Consider the following 17,504-nt stretch of genomic DNA (forward strand, 5'->3'; position numbering starts at 1 on the left):
GGCCAGGAAGGGAAGAGGAGAAAGCTGCATAAAGAGAAATTGGGTAATAGCTACAAAAATGCAGTTAGATAAAGGGAATAACTTCTAGTATTTGATAGTACAGTAGGAAAATTATAATTACAATTATTTATTGTATATTTCAAAATAGCTAGAAGAGAAGAATTATAATGTGCCCAAAGTGAAGAAAAGTTAAATGTTTGAGGTGATGGGTATCCCAATTACCCTTATTTGATCATTACACCTTGTATACAGGTATCAAAATATCACATGTATCCCAAAATATGTAAAACGCTTATATAGAAATACAAAATAAAATGTAAAAAATAGAAACAGCTGGCCCGGCGCCGTGGCTCACGCCTGTAATCCCAGCACTTTGGGAGGCCAAGGTGGGCGGATCACAAGGTCAGGAGATCGAGACCATCCTGGGTAACATAGTGAAACCCCGTCTCTACTGAAAAAAAAAAAAAAAAAAAAAAAAAAAAATATATATATATATATATATATATATACACACACAAAAATTAGCTGGGCGTGGTGGTGCATGCCTGTAATCCCAGCTACTTGGGAGGCTGAGGCAGGAGAATCTCTTGAACCCGGGAGATAGAGGTTGCAGTGAGCTGAGATCATGTCACTGCACTCTAGCCTGGTGACAAAGCTAAACTCCGCCTCAAAAAAAAAAAAAAAAAAAAAGAAACAGCTTAAACAACAAATGGGATTTACCGGCTCATCTAATTCAATAGTGCAAAGATAAAGGTGATACAGAGACTCACATAATCTCTGATTTTCTTAGCTTTATCCTCCTTGGTGTGTTGGATTTGTCACCTGGCAGTGGCAAAAATGGCTATAGCAGTTCTAGAGGTCATATCATTACACCACATGGCGCAGATAAAGAAAGTATCTTTTCTGTTACATCTCTTGTAAAACAGGGAAGCTTCAGGCCTGCAATCAGGAAGCGTGGTGGCTCATGCCTGCAATCCCAGCACTTTGGGAGGCCGAGGCAGGTGGATCACCTGAGGTCGAGAGTTCGAGACCAGCCTGACCAACATGGAGAAACCCCGTCTCTACTTAAAATACCAAATCAGCCGGGCACTGTGGCACATGCCTGTAATCCCAGCTACTTGGGAGGCTGAGGCAGGAGAATCACTTGAACCCAGGAGGCAGAGGTTGCAGTGAGCCAAGATCACGCCATTGCACTCCAGCCTGGGCAACAAGAGCAAAACTCCGTCTCAAAAAAATCGAAAAAAAAAAAAAAGAAGGAAGCTTCTATTCTATAAATAAAAAGTTATATTTGTTGTTTTTTCTATTTGCTTAGGTCTCTTTTATGTTAGATGTTTTCCTCAAATGTTGGATGATCCTCAACTCTCCATTCATATTAAAGACTGAGGCATTATAAAGCTAATTGCAATCTGTAGACACAAGGACAAGGTTTTTTGACTGATGAGTCTTAGAATGCATGATTTTCCTATTTATTTCTTTGGGAGATTTACAATGTTGGCACATCTAGGTATTTTTCTTGGACCGGTAGGTTTTCCCAGAGAGAAAACTCCCAAACTTTTGCTTAGGAGTTATTATAAACATGTTAACCAGGATTCTAAAGGTAGGAAGTAAAGGGGGACTGGGTGTCTCACCATTAATTATTAATACCTGGTTTCAATAAGTTGCTTTATTCCTTTTTTTTTTTTTTTTTTTTGAGACAGAGTCTTGCACTGTTGCCCGAGCTGGAATGCAGTGGCATGATTTCGGCTCACTGCAACCTCCACCTCCCAGGTTCAAGCGGTTCTCCTTGCCTCAGTCTCCCAAGTAGCTGGGATTACAGGTGCCCACCACCATGCCTGGCTAATTTTTTTGTATTTTCAGTAGCGATGGGGTTTCACTATGCTGGCCAGGCTGGTCTCAAATTCCTGACCTCGTGATCCGCCCGTCTCGGCCTCCCAAAGTGCTGGAATTACAGGCATAAGCCACCGTGCCCAACCCAAGTTGCTTTATTCTTGCCTTCAGTTATGCTATGGTGACCAGAGACTTTGTACCCTTTAGGGAAAAGATTTGGAATCTAATTGGTAGCTAATTCTAATTATCTTGTGTTAGCCCCTGCCCTCAGAGATAAATTATGTCAAATGGATTATAACACATTGAATTTTTTTCAAAGAACTCATGAGCCCATAATTATATGAAAAATGAAAGGAAGCAATAGAGTTGGAAAAAGTTTTTTTAATAGAAGACTGCCAGATAATAAATATAGAAGAAATGATAGAAATAGAAAAATTATTATTTTGCAATCTCCAATGCAGTCACTGATTTAAACAAAGAATATCAATGGCTACAAACCCTATCGGGTGAAAGGTAAGTGAGAAATAAGATATTCAAACAGCCTCAAAATATCACCTCCAAATTATTTATTATGTACAAAGGGGAAAGACATTACCTTAGCTGAATGATCTAATTTAGTATTTCCCATAATGAGATAAACTGATATCATATGCCTCCTGATGCAATGCAAGGGGGAGTACAAAACATCACCTCGGTGGTATTCTTGACAAAATATTTAACCTGAATCGAAACACAAGAAAACAATCAGACGAATCAGTTTATGGGACATTCCACAAAACAATTAGACTGACTCTTTAAAATGTCTGTCGGCTGGACATGATGGCTCACGCCTGTAATCCCAGCACTTTGGGAGGCCGAGACGGGTGGATCACCTGAGGTCAGAAGTTCGAGACCAGCCTGGCCAACATGGTGAAACCCCATCTCTACTAAAAATACAAAAATTAGCCAGGCATGGTGGCAGGCACCTGTAATCTCAGCTACTCGGGAGGCTGAGGCAGGAGAATTGCTAGAACCTAGGAGGTGGAGGTTGCAATGAGCCGAGATCATGCCATTGTGCTCTAGCCCAGGCCGACAACAGCAAGACTCCATCTCAAAAACAAAAAACAAAAATTAGCTGGGCATGGTGGCACACACCTATAGTCCCAGCTACTTGGGAGGCTGAGACAGGAGAATTGCTTGACCCCCAGAGGCAGTGGTTGCAGTGAGCTGAGACTGCACCACTGCACTCCAGCCTGGGCAACAGAGCATGACTCCATCTCAAAAAACAAAAATAGGCCAGGCGCAGTGGCTCACACCTGTAATCCCAGCACTTTTGGAGGCCGAGACGGGTGGCTCACGAGGTCAGGACATCGAGACCGTCCTGGCTAACACAGTGAAACCCCGTCTCTACTAAAAATACAAAAAAAGTTAGCTGGGCGTGGTGGCAGGCACCTGTAGTCCCAGCTACTCGGGAGGCTGAGGCAGGAGAATGGCATGAACCCGGGAGGCAGAGCTTGCAGTGAGCCGAGATCACGCCACTGCACTGCAGCCTGGGCGACAGAGTGAGGCTCCGCCTCAAAAAAATAAATAAATAAAAATAAAAATAAAAAAAGTCAGTGTCATGAAAGATTTTAAAAAACAAAGTAAGCTGGCAGTGGTGGCTCACACCTGTAATTCCAGCACTTTGGGAGGCCAAGGTGGGAGGATCGCTTGAGCACAGGAACTCAAGACCAGCCTGGGCAACATGGCAAGACCTCATCTCTATTAAAAAATATATAAATAAATAAAACAAAATGTGTGTTTTGGAGGGGTCTGTGTTAGGTTGACTAAAGAGGCAACCAAATCCTGGACTGGACATTAGAAAGCATCTCTAAAGACCTTTCTGTGGAACCTGAAGAAATTTGAATGAGACTATGTATTAGGTAATAATATTGTATTCATTCTAAATGCCTTATATGTGATAGTGATACTTTGGTTATGTCAGAGAATGTGCTTGTTCTTAGATAATAGAAAAAATGTTTAGGGAGCAAATGTAATAACGTCCACAACTTAATTTAAAACGTATATGTGCACAAAAACCAAAAAAATGCAAAATGTGTGCAAAAAATGTGTGCAAAACCAAAAAAATGTTTCTGTGCAGAAACAAATGTGGATGTGTGAAAAACCAAAACGTGTATGTGTGGATGTGTGCGTGTGTGTGTGTGTGTGTGTGGCTGTGTGTGTGTGAGAGAGACAGAAAGAACAAATGTCACAAAATGTCATCATCTGGCAAAACCAGATGAAGGGTATTAGAGTATTATTTTGTGCTATTCTTACTACTTTGCTGCAGGATTGGAATTTTCAAAATAATGAATATTTTACTACAAAAACAAAATGAAAGGCTTATTTACAATCATATCCAATGCTTGCAATTATGAGATTACACTCCCAAAGAATTATCACAAAACAACTGCATTAATAGGCTATATTTGTTTCCCTTCTTATCTATTGATTTGATCAAGTGACCACTGTAAATTGATAGGTCACGGTTGAAAATATGCCATGAGGCAGAGTCCTGGATATAATTAAGTCATAATAAGGCAAGCCAATATGGAAGTATATACGGCATTGTTTCCTCTATCACCCCCTTCTTTCCTTCCTGAAGGTAGAAGTTATTGGCAAAACAAAGTAATAGATAAGTAGATTTCAGTAGCATAATAATGCATCAAAGTTAGTAAGACAAAAGTCTGTTTTAAAGATGCTCTTCTCTGAGGAATCTGAAAAATCTAAGCTTTCTGCTATGGAAAGAAGAATCTAGGCCATCAGCCAGGCGTGGTGGCACACCCCTATAATCCCAGCACTTTGGGAGGCCGAGGCAGGTGGATCACCTGAGGCCAGGAGTTCGAGACCAGCCTGACCAACAAGGTGAAACCCCATCTCTACTAAAATATGAAAATTAGCCAGGTGTGGTGGCATGCACCTGTAGTCCCAGCTACTCCGGAAGCTGAGACAGGAGAATCACTTAAACCGGGGAGGTGGAGACTGCAGTGAGCCCAGATGGCACCACTGCACTTCAGCCTGGGCAACAGAGCGAGACTCTGTTTAAAAAAAAAAAAAAAAAAAAAAGAATCTAGGCTATCTTTCCAGGTAAGAACCAGAAACAAAGTTCAACTTGACCTACAGAAACTTTGTGGCATACCCGCAGAGTGGAAACTGTGCCCTCTGGGAATTTCCATTCCCTTTTACCCAGTTCTGTACTTCCTCTCCTCCTCAAGAGATCATTTATTAGCAACATAATGCATCAAGTAGCCAGGCGTGGCTGGGCGCGGTGGCTCACACCTGTAATCCCAGCACTTTGGGAGGCTGAGGCGGGCAGATCATGAGGTCAGGAGATCAAGACCATCCTGGCTAACACGGTGAAACCCCGTCTCTACTAAAAAAATACAAAAAAATTAGCTGGCTGTGGTGGCGGGTGCCTGTAGTCCCAGCTACTTGGGAGGCTGAGGCAGGAGAATGGCGTGAACCTGGGAGGCGGAGCTTTCAGTGAGCCGAGATAGTGCCACTGCACTCCAGCCTGGGCGACAGAGTAAGACTCTGTCTCAAAAAAAAGAAAAAAAAAAAAAAGTAGCCAGGCATGGTGGCTCACACCTGTAATCTCAACACTTTGGGAGGCTGAGGCAGGTGGATCACTTGAGCTCAGGAGTTCAAGACCAGCCTGGCCACATGGCAAACCCCATCTCTACAAAAAATATGAAAATTAGCCAGGCATGGTCATGCATGCCTGTGGTCCCAGCTACTTGGGAGGCTCAGGCTGGAGGATCACGTGAGCATGGGAGGTGGAGGTTGCAGTCAGCTGTGATTGTGCCACTGCACTCCAGCCCGGGTGACAGAGTGAGACCTTATCTCAAAAAAATAATAAAACAAATGCATAAATTATAATGGACAAACCTTGCTATCTGCAAGACAAAAGTGAGTTTGTCTCACTGTGAAAGACCTAAGCCTTCTATCTGAGGAGAGGAAACATCCTAGGTTGCCCTTCCAGGAAGAAAGGTCATCTTGATCTCATGAACCTTGTGGCTACCCTGCAGAGAGGCCTAAGGAGTAAAAATCCCAGAGGAGACTATGGTATTAAGAAATAGAGAAAGAGCGTAGACTAGAGAGAAATAGGGTTCCCTGTAGGGTTAACTGAATGTTCAGTGAAGAGAAAACTTAAAAAAAAAAAAAAAAAGAAAAAGAGAAACAGGTTGGGTGTGGTGGCTCACATCTGTAATCCCAGCACTTTGCGAGGCTGGGGTGGGCAGATTGCTTCATCTCAGGAGTTTGAGAGCAGCCTGACCAACATGGCAAAACCCCATCTCCATGAAAATACAAAAATTAGCCAGATGTGGTGGTGCATGCCTGTAATCCCAGCTACTTGGGAGGCTGACGTGGGAGGTGGAGGCTGCAGTGAGCCATGATCACACCATTGCACTCCAGCCTGGGCAACTGAGCAAGACCCTGTCTCAAAAACAAACAAACAAACAAACAAAAAAAACCCCCAAGCCATCAGACAACTATGTGGTATATAGTGGAACACAGGTTCAGGAGCTGTGCTGCCTGGTTTGGAATCCCAGTTCTACCTCTTTACTAGTTGTCCAATGCTTACTAGCTGAACTGTTACCAGAAACACTGTAACACATGCAGTAAACACTATACTCAGCTATTTGTCCTATAGACTCCATATATGTTTTTTGACTTTTTTTTTCTGATAATAGTATCTGCACATCTTCCTGGCATAAGTAAGGTGTTATATATGAGTAAGTGGAATTTCTGAATGAGAGAAACACAGGGGAAGGAAAAGAATAAGTCATTTGGTGGTTAAGAAAGGATTAAAGAAACTTGGGGCATTAAAAGATTTGTATGAGGCTGGGCGCGGTGTCTCATGCCTGTAATCCCAGAATGTTGCAGGAAGTCAGGGACCCCAAATGGAGGGACCAGCTGGAGCCGAGGCAGAAGAATATAAATTGTGAAGATTTCACGGACATTTATCAGTTCCCAAAATTAATACTTTTATAATTTCTTACGCCTGTCTTTACTGTAATCTCTGAACATAAATTGTGAAGATTTCATGGACATTTATCACTTCCCCGACCAATACTCTTATAATTTCTTATGCCTGTCTTTACTTTAATCTCTTAATCCTGTTATCTTCATAAACTGAGAATGTACGTCACCTCAGGACCACTATTGTACAAATTGATTGTAAAATATGTGTGTTTGAACAATATGAAATCAGTGCACCCTGAAAAAGAACAGAATAACAGCAATTTTCAGGGAACGAGGGAAGATAACCATAAGGTCTGACTGCCTGTGGGGTTGGGCAGAATACAGCCATATTTTTCTTCTTGCAGAAAGCCTGTAGACAGACATGTGAGTAGGAGAAATATTGCTGAATTCTTTTCCCAGCAAGGAATATTAATAATTGAGACCCTGGGGAAGGAATGCATTCCTGGGGGTAGGTCTATAGACGGCCACTCTGGGAGTGTCTGTCTTATGTAGTTGAGATAAGGACTGAAATATCCCTGGTCTCCTGCAGTACCCTCAGGCTTAGTAGGATTGGGAAATTCCAGCCGGGTAAATTCTAGTCAGATCGGTTCTCTGCTCTCGAACCTTGTTTCCTGTTAAGATGTTTATCAAGACAATGCGCACACAGCAGGACATAGGCCCTCATCAGTAATTCTAATTTTGCCTTGCCTTGTGATCTTTATTGCCCCTTGAAGCATGTGATCTTTGTGACTTACTCCCTGTTCGTACACCCCCTCTCCTTTTAAAATCCCTAATAAAAACTTGCCGGTTTTGCAGCTCAGGGTTGCCATCATGGTCCTACCAATATGTGATGACACCCCCGGAGGCCCAGCTGTAAAATTTCTCTCTTTGTACTCTTTCTCTTTATTTCTCAGACGGGCCAACACTTAGGGAAAATAGAAAGAACCTACGTTGAAATATTGGGAGCTGGTTCCCCCGATACCAGCACTTTGGGAGGCCAAGGCGGGTGGATCACCTGAGGTCAGGAGTTCGAGACCAGCCTGGCCAACATGGTGAAACCCAGTCTCTACTAAAAATGCAAAAAAAAAAAAAAATTAGCTGGGCATGGTGGCAGGCACCTGTAATCCCAGCTACATGGGAGGCTGAAGCAGGGAGAATCGCTCAAACCTAGGAGGTGGAGGTTGCAGGGAGACAAGATTGCACCACTGCACTCCAGCCTGGGTAATAGAGCGAGACTCAGTCTCCAAAAAAATAAAATAAAAATATACAAATACAAATATTAGCCGGGCATGGTGGCATGAGCCTGTAATCCCAGCTACTTGGAGGCTGAGGCAGGAGAATCACACTTGAACCTAGGAGGCGGAGGTTGTAGTGAGCCAAAATCATGCCACTGCACCCCAGCCTGGGAAACAGAGCAAGACTCTGTCTCAAAAAAAAAAAAAAAAAAAAAAAAAAAGACTTGCATGAGAGTGAGGATCCACATACTGGTCCTATCTCTGGGTATAGGCAGTTCTATTCACAATACTCATAACAGAGTGGACATTACCACCTAATCATTTGGTACACTATGGATTTCTTCAATCAAAAGCACATAAGATCCTCCCTTGAGGCATTTGTCTAAGAACTCAGTCTTGAACAGATTACACACATCAAATGCATATTTGTAACACCTTCTAGTAAAATACACAGAATGGAATACATGGGCTAATTGTTCACTAAGTTCCATTAAATTCAGCTCTGGGTATATCATTTTTGGGAAATTTAACTTGTCACAGACTAGATTTCAATGCCTCTTTCCTTCAGCTAGCTCCACTAGCTTTCAAAGGTAGGGCTTTGCCTTAGGTTTTACTTAGGCTTGCAGAGCTGTTTTGCTTCAGTACTGTTTTTCTTTTCTTTTTCAAGAGACAGGGTCTTCCTCTGTCGCCCATGCCGGAGAGCAATGGCATGATCATGGCTCACTGCAGCCTCGATCATACTACTGGGCTCAAGCAATCCTCCCAAGTCAGCTTCCTGAGTAGCTGAGACTAGAGGTGCATGCTAACACACCTGGTTATTTTCTTTTTCTTTTTTCATAGAGACATGGGTCTCTCTCTGTTTCACAGGCTGGTCTCCAACTCCTGGGCTCAAATGATCTTCCCACTTTGGCCTCTCAAAGTGCTAGGATTACAGGTGTGAGCCACCTCACCTAGCCTCTTTCTATTTAAAGATGGGTCTCAAGATGTTGCCCAGGCTGGTCTTGAACTCCTGTCCTCAAGCAATGAGCTGTCATGAGCCATCACAGCTAGAAATGTTTTAAAATTTCTAAAAAAGGAAATTCCTGGCCGGGTGCGTTTGCTCATGCCTGCAATCCCAGCACTTTAGGAGGCCAAGGCGGGCAGATCACTTGAGTCCAGGAGTTTGACACCAGCCTGAGCAACACGGTGAAACCCCATCTTTACCAAAAATACAAAAATTAGCTGGGCATGGTGATGCATGCCTGTAATCCCAATGACTCGGGCAGCTGAGGCAGGAGAATCGCTTGAACCCGGGAGGCAGAGGTTGCAGTGAGCCCAGATTGCGCCACTGGACTCCAGCCTGGGCGACAGAGCAACACCCTATCTCAAAAAAGAAAATAGAAGGAAAACCCCTTGAAAAAAATGACGAGTATGTTTTCTACTGGTCAATTTAACCAAGGAATAGCTTTTTCTAGAATCTAGTGCCAGGAAAAAGTATGAATATCAGGAAAACTTCAATAATTCTTTTTATGAGACAATAAGAATTATGTAATCCACTGTGATTTGTTTTTATCTTAACTGTTAGTGTCCAATTGCATTAAACTGTCATACCATATTTAATTCATCTGTATACTCAAATAAATGTGAATGGAGGAAAGGACAATGGGAAAACAACTACGCAATATTCCAGATGAAAGTAACAGAGACAGAGAATTGGATTTCAAATTCAAGAGACAATTCATTTCCTTTTTTTTTTGAGACAGAATCTTGCTCAGTCGCCGAGGCTGGAGTGCAGCCTGCAACGTCTGCCTCCCAGGTTCAAGTGATTCTCGTGCCTCAGCCTCCAGAGTAGCTGGGATTACAGGTGCCTGCCACCACACCCGGCTAATTTTTTGTATTTTTAGTAGAGACAGAGTTTCACCTTGTTGGCCAAGCTGGTCTCAAACTCCTGAGCTCAGGCAATTCACCTGCCTCAGCCTCCCAGAGTCCTAGGATTACAGGCATGAGCCACCGCACTTGGCCTCAAAAAACAATTCAAAGACAGATAAATGTAGGAATTCAGGAGCAGGGAAATCATTCCCAAGGTTTCCAGTTTAGAGAACAGAGTAGATAATGCCACTAACCATGGGAGAGGAAACTAGGGAAAGGCTAAGATGGGTTTTGGCAATGTTGGGCTATCTAAACAAACATTAATTATTTATCATCTCCCCTCTCCCAGCCACTTATTTTCAAAAACTAGTGGATGTGTCTTATAATAAGAGGAGTGATAGAGAAGGAAAAAGATTACTCATAAAGACAAAAGCCAAGTTGTAAAGCAAATCAGAACATGCCCAGCTAGGACCAAAGCAAAGGTGAACATTTCTAAGCCAGCAAGGACATCAACTGTGACTTGGTAAGGTTGACACACTTAGAAAATCATTTGGCTAAATTGCAGCCTGCCCTTGTCTCTTGTCCCCAGGCAGATCAGGACCCAACAATGAGGACTTTTGGGGAGGGCTGGCATCCAATGTTGAGCATGGAAAATGACTCCCAGGTCATGTGGCCTCAAAGGAGACTGAGAGAAAGTGGGAGCAACATAAGTGCCCAGTGTGTTTCATGGGGAGGAAGGGGCCTCAAAGAATTCCAAGGCCCCCACCCATAGCCATCCACTGTGCCTCTGCCTAGATTAGCTTTGTAATTGGACTGGGCCAGTATCTACAAGGTAAGAAAGATCTGTAGGCAAACAATACTATCAATATGAGAAAAGAAAGATGGCTCACAGCAGTCTGAGCACTGTGAGGTCTGCAAGAGAAACATGAGTCAGCCCCCACACCCATACCTGGTGGCAACTGTTTAAAGCCTGACTAGCTGTCTCACCCATTATTTTCATGCTCCTGAAATTTGTGATACAAAAAATTATGTATAGCCAATCAATATGTTATTTTAATGTGAATTATTGGTAAATAACTTAGGAACTACCTCTTCTTTTCCTTTAAAAATCCATCTGGGCAAGGTGGCTCACATCTGTAATCCCAGCACTTTGGCAGGCTGAGGCAGGAGGATTGCTTGAGGCCAGGAGTTTGAGACCAGCCTGGGTAATGTAGGGAGATCCCACTGAATTTAAAAATTAGCTGTGCAAGTGGTGGTGCATACCTGTGGTTCCAGATACCTGGGAGGCTGAGGTGGGAGGATCACCTGAGTCCAGGAGGTTGAGGTGCAGTGAACTGCGATCACACCATTGCACTCCAGCCTGGGCAACAGAGACTGTGAGTGACACCCTGTCTCAAAAACAAAACAAAACAAAAACAAAAACCTCTTGTAAGTGCTGCTAATCAGAGTGTATAAAAGGCAACATGAATCTGTGCTTCCTCAAACTTGGCTCAAATAAACTCCCTGCTTATATTAATTTTGCCTACGCTGCTTTCCTCTAGGTCAACAAATATCAGGCAGAGGGAAAATAATTGCTGGAATCCAGTTTGAATTTACCCTAGACTAAGAAATGCTTTGTCTCTCTGATAATCCCAGTCCCTTTCTGCCCCTGCCCTCCTGCCCCAAGAGAAGGTGGGATACTTCTATTCCTGTGCTAGAAACCCCACGCTTCCATGCATTCTTTCCAGGCTGACCCACCCTCTCACAACCACCCTCAAACCCTCCACTGAGGCCTCTGGAACCGATTTAGTCTTCACAAATTCCCCTGCATCCTCAACAGCTTCACAGAACGGATTGTTAAACTAAATTTGGCCTGAGGCTGCCTCTGTACCTTGAGTCCCTACATAAGGAACTGCAACCTAGCTTGGCATGTAAACAAACTGAAAGCCTAACTTGGGAGCATACTTTTGAAACAGATAGCTGAATTGCAGCCAATCACAGCAGCTAAGCTTCAGCCAATCACAGGCTGCCAACTGATCAGACCATGGCAAAGTATAAGGCAAAGTAGAGCTGTAAGCAATCCAGCAGTGTCTGTACCTCACTTCCATTTTCTGTCTATAAACACTGCCGGCCCACACTGTGTTCTCTGAACCTTTTCTGGTTCTGAGGGCTGCCCAGTTCATGCATTATTCTTTGCTCAAAAAAAACTCTGTCAAATTTAATTTGTCTAAAGCTTTTCTTTTAACACTATTAACACTTATCTGATGTTCCTACCTTATCTGATGCTTTTCCCTGTGCAGCCCTCACTAGTATAAACTGCTAGATCTCTCACACCTGGCCTGCCACTGGGACAGGTGTTAGGCTCAGCACCCTTGCTCCTCCAGTTGCTCCCATATCAGTGCTCACTTAGCTTACATCTTCCCCTACATCCCAAGTCTTGGAGTATCTTGGATGCTGACATCCATCCATGGAGCCATCCCGCACTTTGGCCTTTCATTTCCTTGAACGTTTTTTCCGTGCTCCCCTTCTTTTCCCAAAGTCAAGTTTATTGCCATATAATTTTCTAAAGCTTTATCTAGGCTTAATTGATGAACAATAAACTGCATATATTTAAAGAGTACAGAGCAGGTGCGGTGGCTCATGCCTGTAATCCCAGCACTTTGGGAGGCCGAGGTGGGCAGATCACCTGAGGTCAGGAGTTCGAGACCAGCCTGGCCAACATAGTGAAACCCCATTTCTACTAAAAATACAAAAATTAGCTGGACATGGTGGCACGTGCCTGTAATCCCAACAACTCGGAAGGCTGAGGTGGGAGAATCGCTTGAACCTGGGAGGAGAGGTTGCAGTGAGCCGAGATCATGCCACTGCACTGCAGCCTAGATGACAGAGTGAGACTCTGTCTCAAAAAAAAAATTAAATTAAAAATTTTAAAGAAAGAGTACAATTTGATGAGTTGCCACTGCACCTGGCCGATGAATTCTGACATACTTGTACACTCATGAAACCATCATTGCAATAGTATAATGAACATATCTGTCACCTCCAAAAGTTTTCTGATGTCCCTTTGTAATTTCTCCCTCTCTCCACCTCCTCCCTTTACAGGCAACAACTGATCTATCACTACAGATTAGTTTATATTTTCTCAAATTTTCTATAAATGGAATGTTATACTATACGTTTTTCATTCCTTTCACTTTGAGATTTCATCCCTGTTGTGGCATGTATCAATAGTGCATTCCTTTTTATCAGTGGATAGTGCAGTATTCCATCGTGTGGATGAACCACTATTGTTTATCCACTCACCATTTGCCGGACATTACAGATAGTTACAGGTTTTGACTATTTTAAATAAAGCTGCTGTGAACAATCATATCTAAGTCTTTGTGTGGAAATATGCTTTCATTTCTATTGAGGTAAAATTCACACTTTTAAGGTGCACAATTCCATTTGACAAATCTATACAATGCAATATTCAACTGGACAGGTAAATACAATCATGTAACCACCATTTTCATTATCCCCCAAATTCCCTTGGGCACTTCTCTACACTCCCATCCCCTGGCAACCACTTATCTGATTTCTGTCCCTATAATTCTGTTTTTTTTAGAATGTCATAAATGGAATTATACAGGGTCTACCTTCTTGCATCTCGCATCTCTCACCTAGCATACTGCTTTTGAGATTCAGCCACATCATTGCATGTATCTGTTACCAAATCAAACTGGGTCTGCTTGCCCAGCAAGTAAGGCCAAACATCCACACTGAGGTTTGTAGCTGGAGAAAGGAGGGTGTTTATCTCCAGGGCACCAAGCAAGGAGAACTGAGCAGCTCATGCTTAAGACCCAACCCCTTGGATGGCTTATATGTAAGAGTTTTTAAAGGCAGGGAGCAGAAGTTACAGGCACTATCATAAATCAATATATGGAGGCTACACATTGAGTTGACTTAAAAAGGCTAGACCTCTCAAAACAGAAGCCCAGAAGTCATAGGTGGATTCAAAGGTTTTCTGATTTCTGATTGGTTAAGGAGGTAAAGCTTTAATTTTGTTTTAAAGTGGCTAGACGCAGTGGCTCACGCCTGAAATCCCAGCACGTCGGGAGGCCAAGGCAGGATGGATCACCTGAGGTCAGGAGTTCAAGACCAGCCTGACCAACATGGAGAAACCCCGTCTCTACTAAAAATACAAAATTAGCTTGGTGCGGTGGCGCATGCCTGTAATCCTAGCTACTTGGGAGGCTGAGGCAGGAGAATCGCTTGAACCCAGGAGGCGGAGGTTGTGGTGAGCTGAGATCGCGCCATTGCACTCCAGCCTGGGCAATAAAAGCAAAACTCCGCCTCAAAAAAAAAAAAATTTTTTTTTCTAAAGTCTAAAAATTTGGGATCAGCAGAAAAGAATGTTAGCTCTGGCCCATGGGTATGACTTCCTTTATGCCTCTCAGGAAGAAATTTAGAACAAAGAAGAGCAGTCAGAATTTAGTCCTCAGTTCCCGCTTATCTGAATTCTACAAGACAGCAGATCTGTTTGGTGGGGGTCTGAGTTTCTGAAAAACAACTCAGGAACATATGTTATGATGTTATCTTTAGTTTCTATAGGGAACCAAATATCTTGTGATTCTAACTTCCTTGGCTATTGTTTTACGCTACTATTACCCCCTTCTTGCTTATCAAGTGGTTCACTTACTTCTCAGGGCTAGCTAAGTGCCTGGAATTTCCCTTGAAGGAACTCAAGATTTTCCTTTATTTTCATGTGTGAGGGGGGCCTGCAGGCCCATAAGAGGGGTCCCTGCTCCCTCATCAGTAGTTCATTCCTTTCTGTTGCTGAGTAGTATTTCATTGTATGAATGTAAGACAATTTATTTATCTGTTCACTAGTTGCTACACATTTGAGTTATTTGCAGTTTTTGGCAAGTGTTAATAAAACATACATAAGCATTTCCAGACAGATATTTTTGTGGACATGATTTCATTTTTCATGAGTAAATACCTAGAAGTGGGATTGCCGGGTCATATAGTAAGTATATATTTAACTTTATAAGTACATTATTATTATCATTATTATTATTATTATTTTGAGACAGAGTCTTGCTCTGTCACCCAGGCTGGAGTGCAATGGGGTGATCTCGGCTCACTGCAACCTCCGCCTCCCGGGTTCAAGCGATTCTCCTGCCTCAGCCTCCCAAGTAGCTGGGATTACAGGTGCCTGCCACCACACCTGGCTAATTTTTTGTACTTTTAGTAGAGATGGGGTTTCGCCATGTTGGCCAGGCTGGTCTTGAACTCCTGACTTCAGGTGATCCACTTGCCTCAGCCTCCCAAAGTGCTAGGATTACAGGTGTGAGCCACAGCACCCGGCCATAAGTACGTTATTTATTAAGCTTTGATGCTTTGATTTCGCTTGTCCTTTAATCTCTCTACTTTCTTCTTTTTCATTCGTTCATTCTTTTTTTTCTTTTTTTGTTTTAGAGACAGGGTCTCACTCTGTCATCCAGGCTGGAGTGCAGTGGCACAATCAGAGCTCACTGCAGTCTCAACTTCCTGGGCTCAAGAGATCCTCCTTCCTCAGCCTCCTGAGTATATGGAACCACAGTCATGCACCACCATGCCCGGCTATTTTTAAAATTTTTTATAGAGATGGGTCTTGCTATGTTGCCCAGGCTGGTCTCAAACTCCTGGCTCAAGTGATCCACCCACCTCGGCCTCTCAAAGTGTTGAGATTACAGGCGTGAGCCACCACACCTGGCTCATTCTTTCTTTTTTTAAGAGACAGAGTCTCACTATGTTGCCCAGGCTGGTGTCGAACTCCTGGCCTCTGGCAATCCTCCTGCATCAGCCTCCTGAGAAGCTGGGACTATAGGCGCATGCCGCCATGCCCAGCTCTCTTTTCTTCTTTTATGTTAACTAACTCTTATCTTCATCTTCCTTACCTAAATTGGACTCCATCATAAATCATTTTAAACAAACTTTTGCTCATATCCTCAACTGGTTATCCCACTGTCCTCCTGTCAAACTTATGCTACAACCCCCATCCCCTGGATCAATTCAACTGTCCCTCTTCCCTGTACCTATTCTGGAGCTATGTTGTGTACCTTGAGAAAAATCATTTAATGTACATATTGATGTAACATAAAATGGGGGTTTCTAACCTCAAATGGGCCCTTAACACTGCAGGGAAATCCTTCTGTGTTTTTGTGATCAACTCATATTCTCCCAGCAGCCATCTACTCTTTTTTTTTTTTGAGATGGAGTCTCGGCTCTGTCACCCAGGCTGGAGTGCAATGGCGTGGTTTCAGCTCACTGTAACCTCCACCTCCCAGGTTCAAGTGATTCTCCTGCCTCAGCCTCCCAAGTAGCTGGGACTACAGGCGCGTACCACTATGCCCGGCTAATTTTTTTTTTGTATTTTTAGTAGAGACAGGGTTTCACTATGTTGGCCAGGCTGGTCTCGAACTCCTGACCTCGTGATCTGCCTGCCTTGGCCTCCCAAAGTGCTGGGATTACAGGTGTGAGCCAGCACGCCCGGCCAAACCTAATCTACTCTTATCAAGCTTCAGATCCCACCCGTATCTCCCTTCTGGGGAGGTCCCAATAGTGGATCTCAGCAGGATCCATTAGATACCAGTTCCAAATCCAACTGCATCTACCCCCTTCTTTGCCTCCTTCCCTGCTATTACAATGAACACTGCATGCTGGCTCTGGCAGTTTAAAGCTAATTTCTCCACTTGTGCTTCCCCCTAGTTTCTCAGTCTTCACTCTACAGCATATTCCCACACTCTCTGTCTTCATCCCCTTTCTCTCTAGTGGATCCTTACGGGAGCTTCGTAGCTCACTTGCTTGCTATTTCTTTTTCTTTCTTTCTTTCTTTCTGGAACATACCACCCTCTGTGGCTCTACAGAGCCAGGCAGGAGGAATTTTTTGTTATTTCTTTTCAGGAGAGGGTCAGCTCCCCTAGAGTGGCTCTGGGATCTTTGGAGTCCCAGTTAAACCAGGACTGGAGGCACCTGGAAACAAGGACTTGGTGTCCTTGAGGCAGCTCAAACCTTTAGAGCTCAGAGGCCTCCAAAGTGGATGCACAAGAGCCCTGAGGGTCTTAAGGAGATAACTCCAAAGCTGCTAGGTGGGGAAGCCAGGACTTCAATCAGGAATGCACCTCTTTCATCTGTAATATTTCTTTTGGACAGTTTGGCAATTAACAACTAGTTTTAAAACACCTGTTTTAGATCCTTGATCAGAGTCCCAGCCTGTCCTCCTCCCTCTAGAGATGGGGAAGATGTGCTCCTTTCTCCTAAAAGCCTTGGGCTCAGAGCCAGTCAGTTTCCAATCTACCAGTTGAGTGACCTTGGGCAAGCCCCTCCCTGCGCTGGGTCTCATTTTTGAAAAAATAGGATATGGGGAGGGGTGGGCAGGACCTTGGGTCTTCAGTTTCTTTAAAGTGGAGTGAGTCTAGAAAGAAGACAGGGAAGCCGGGCGCAGTGGCTTACGCCTGTAATCCCAGTACTTTGGGAGGCCGAGGCGGGTGGATCACGAGGTCAGAAGTTCAAGACCAGCCTGGCCAAGATGGTGAAACTCCATCTCTACTAAAAATACAAAAATTAGCCGGGCGCAGTGGCAGGCGCCTGTAATCCCAGCTACCT

The sequence above is a fragment of the Homo sapiens genome, chromosome 9 (genome assembly GCF_000001405.40).
Source record: "Homo sapiens chromosome 9, GRCh38.p14 Primary Assembly".
NCBI classification, from domain to species: Eukaryota; Metazoa; Chordata; class Mammalia; order Primates; family Hominidae; genus Homo; species Homo sapiens.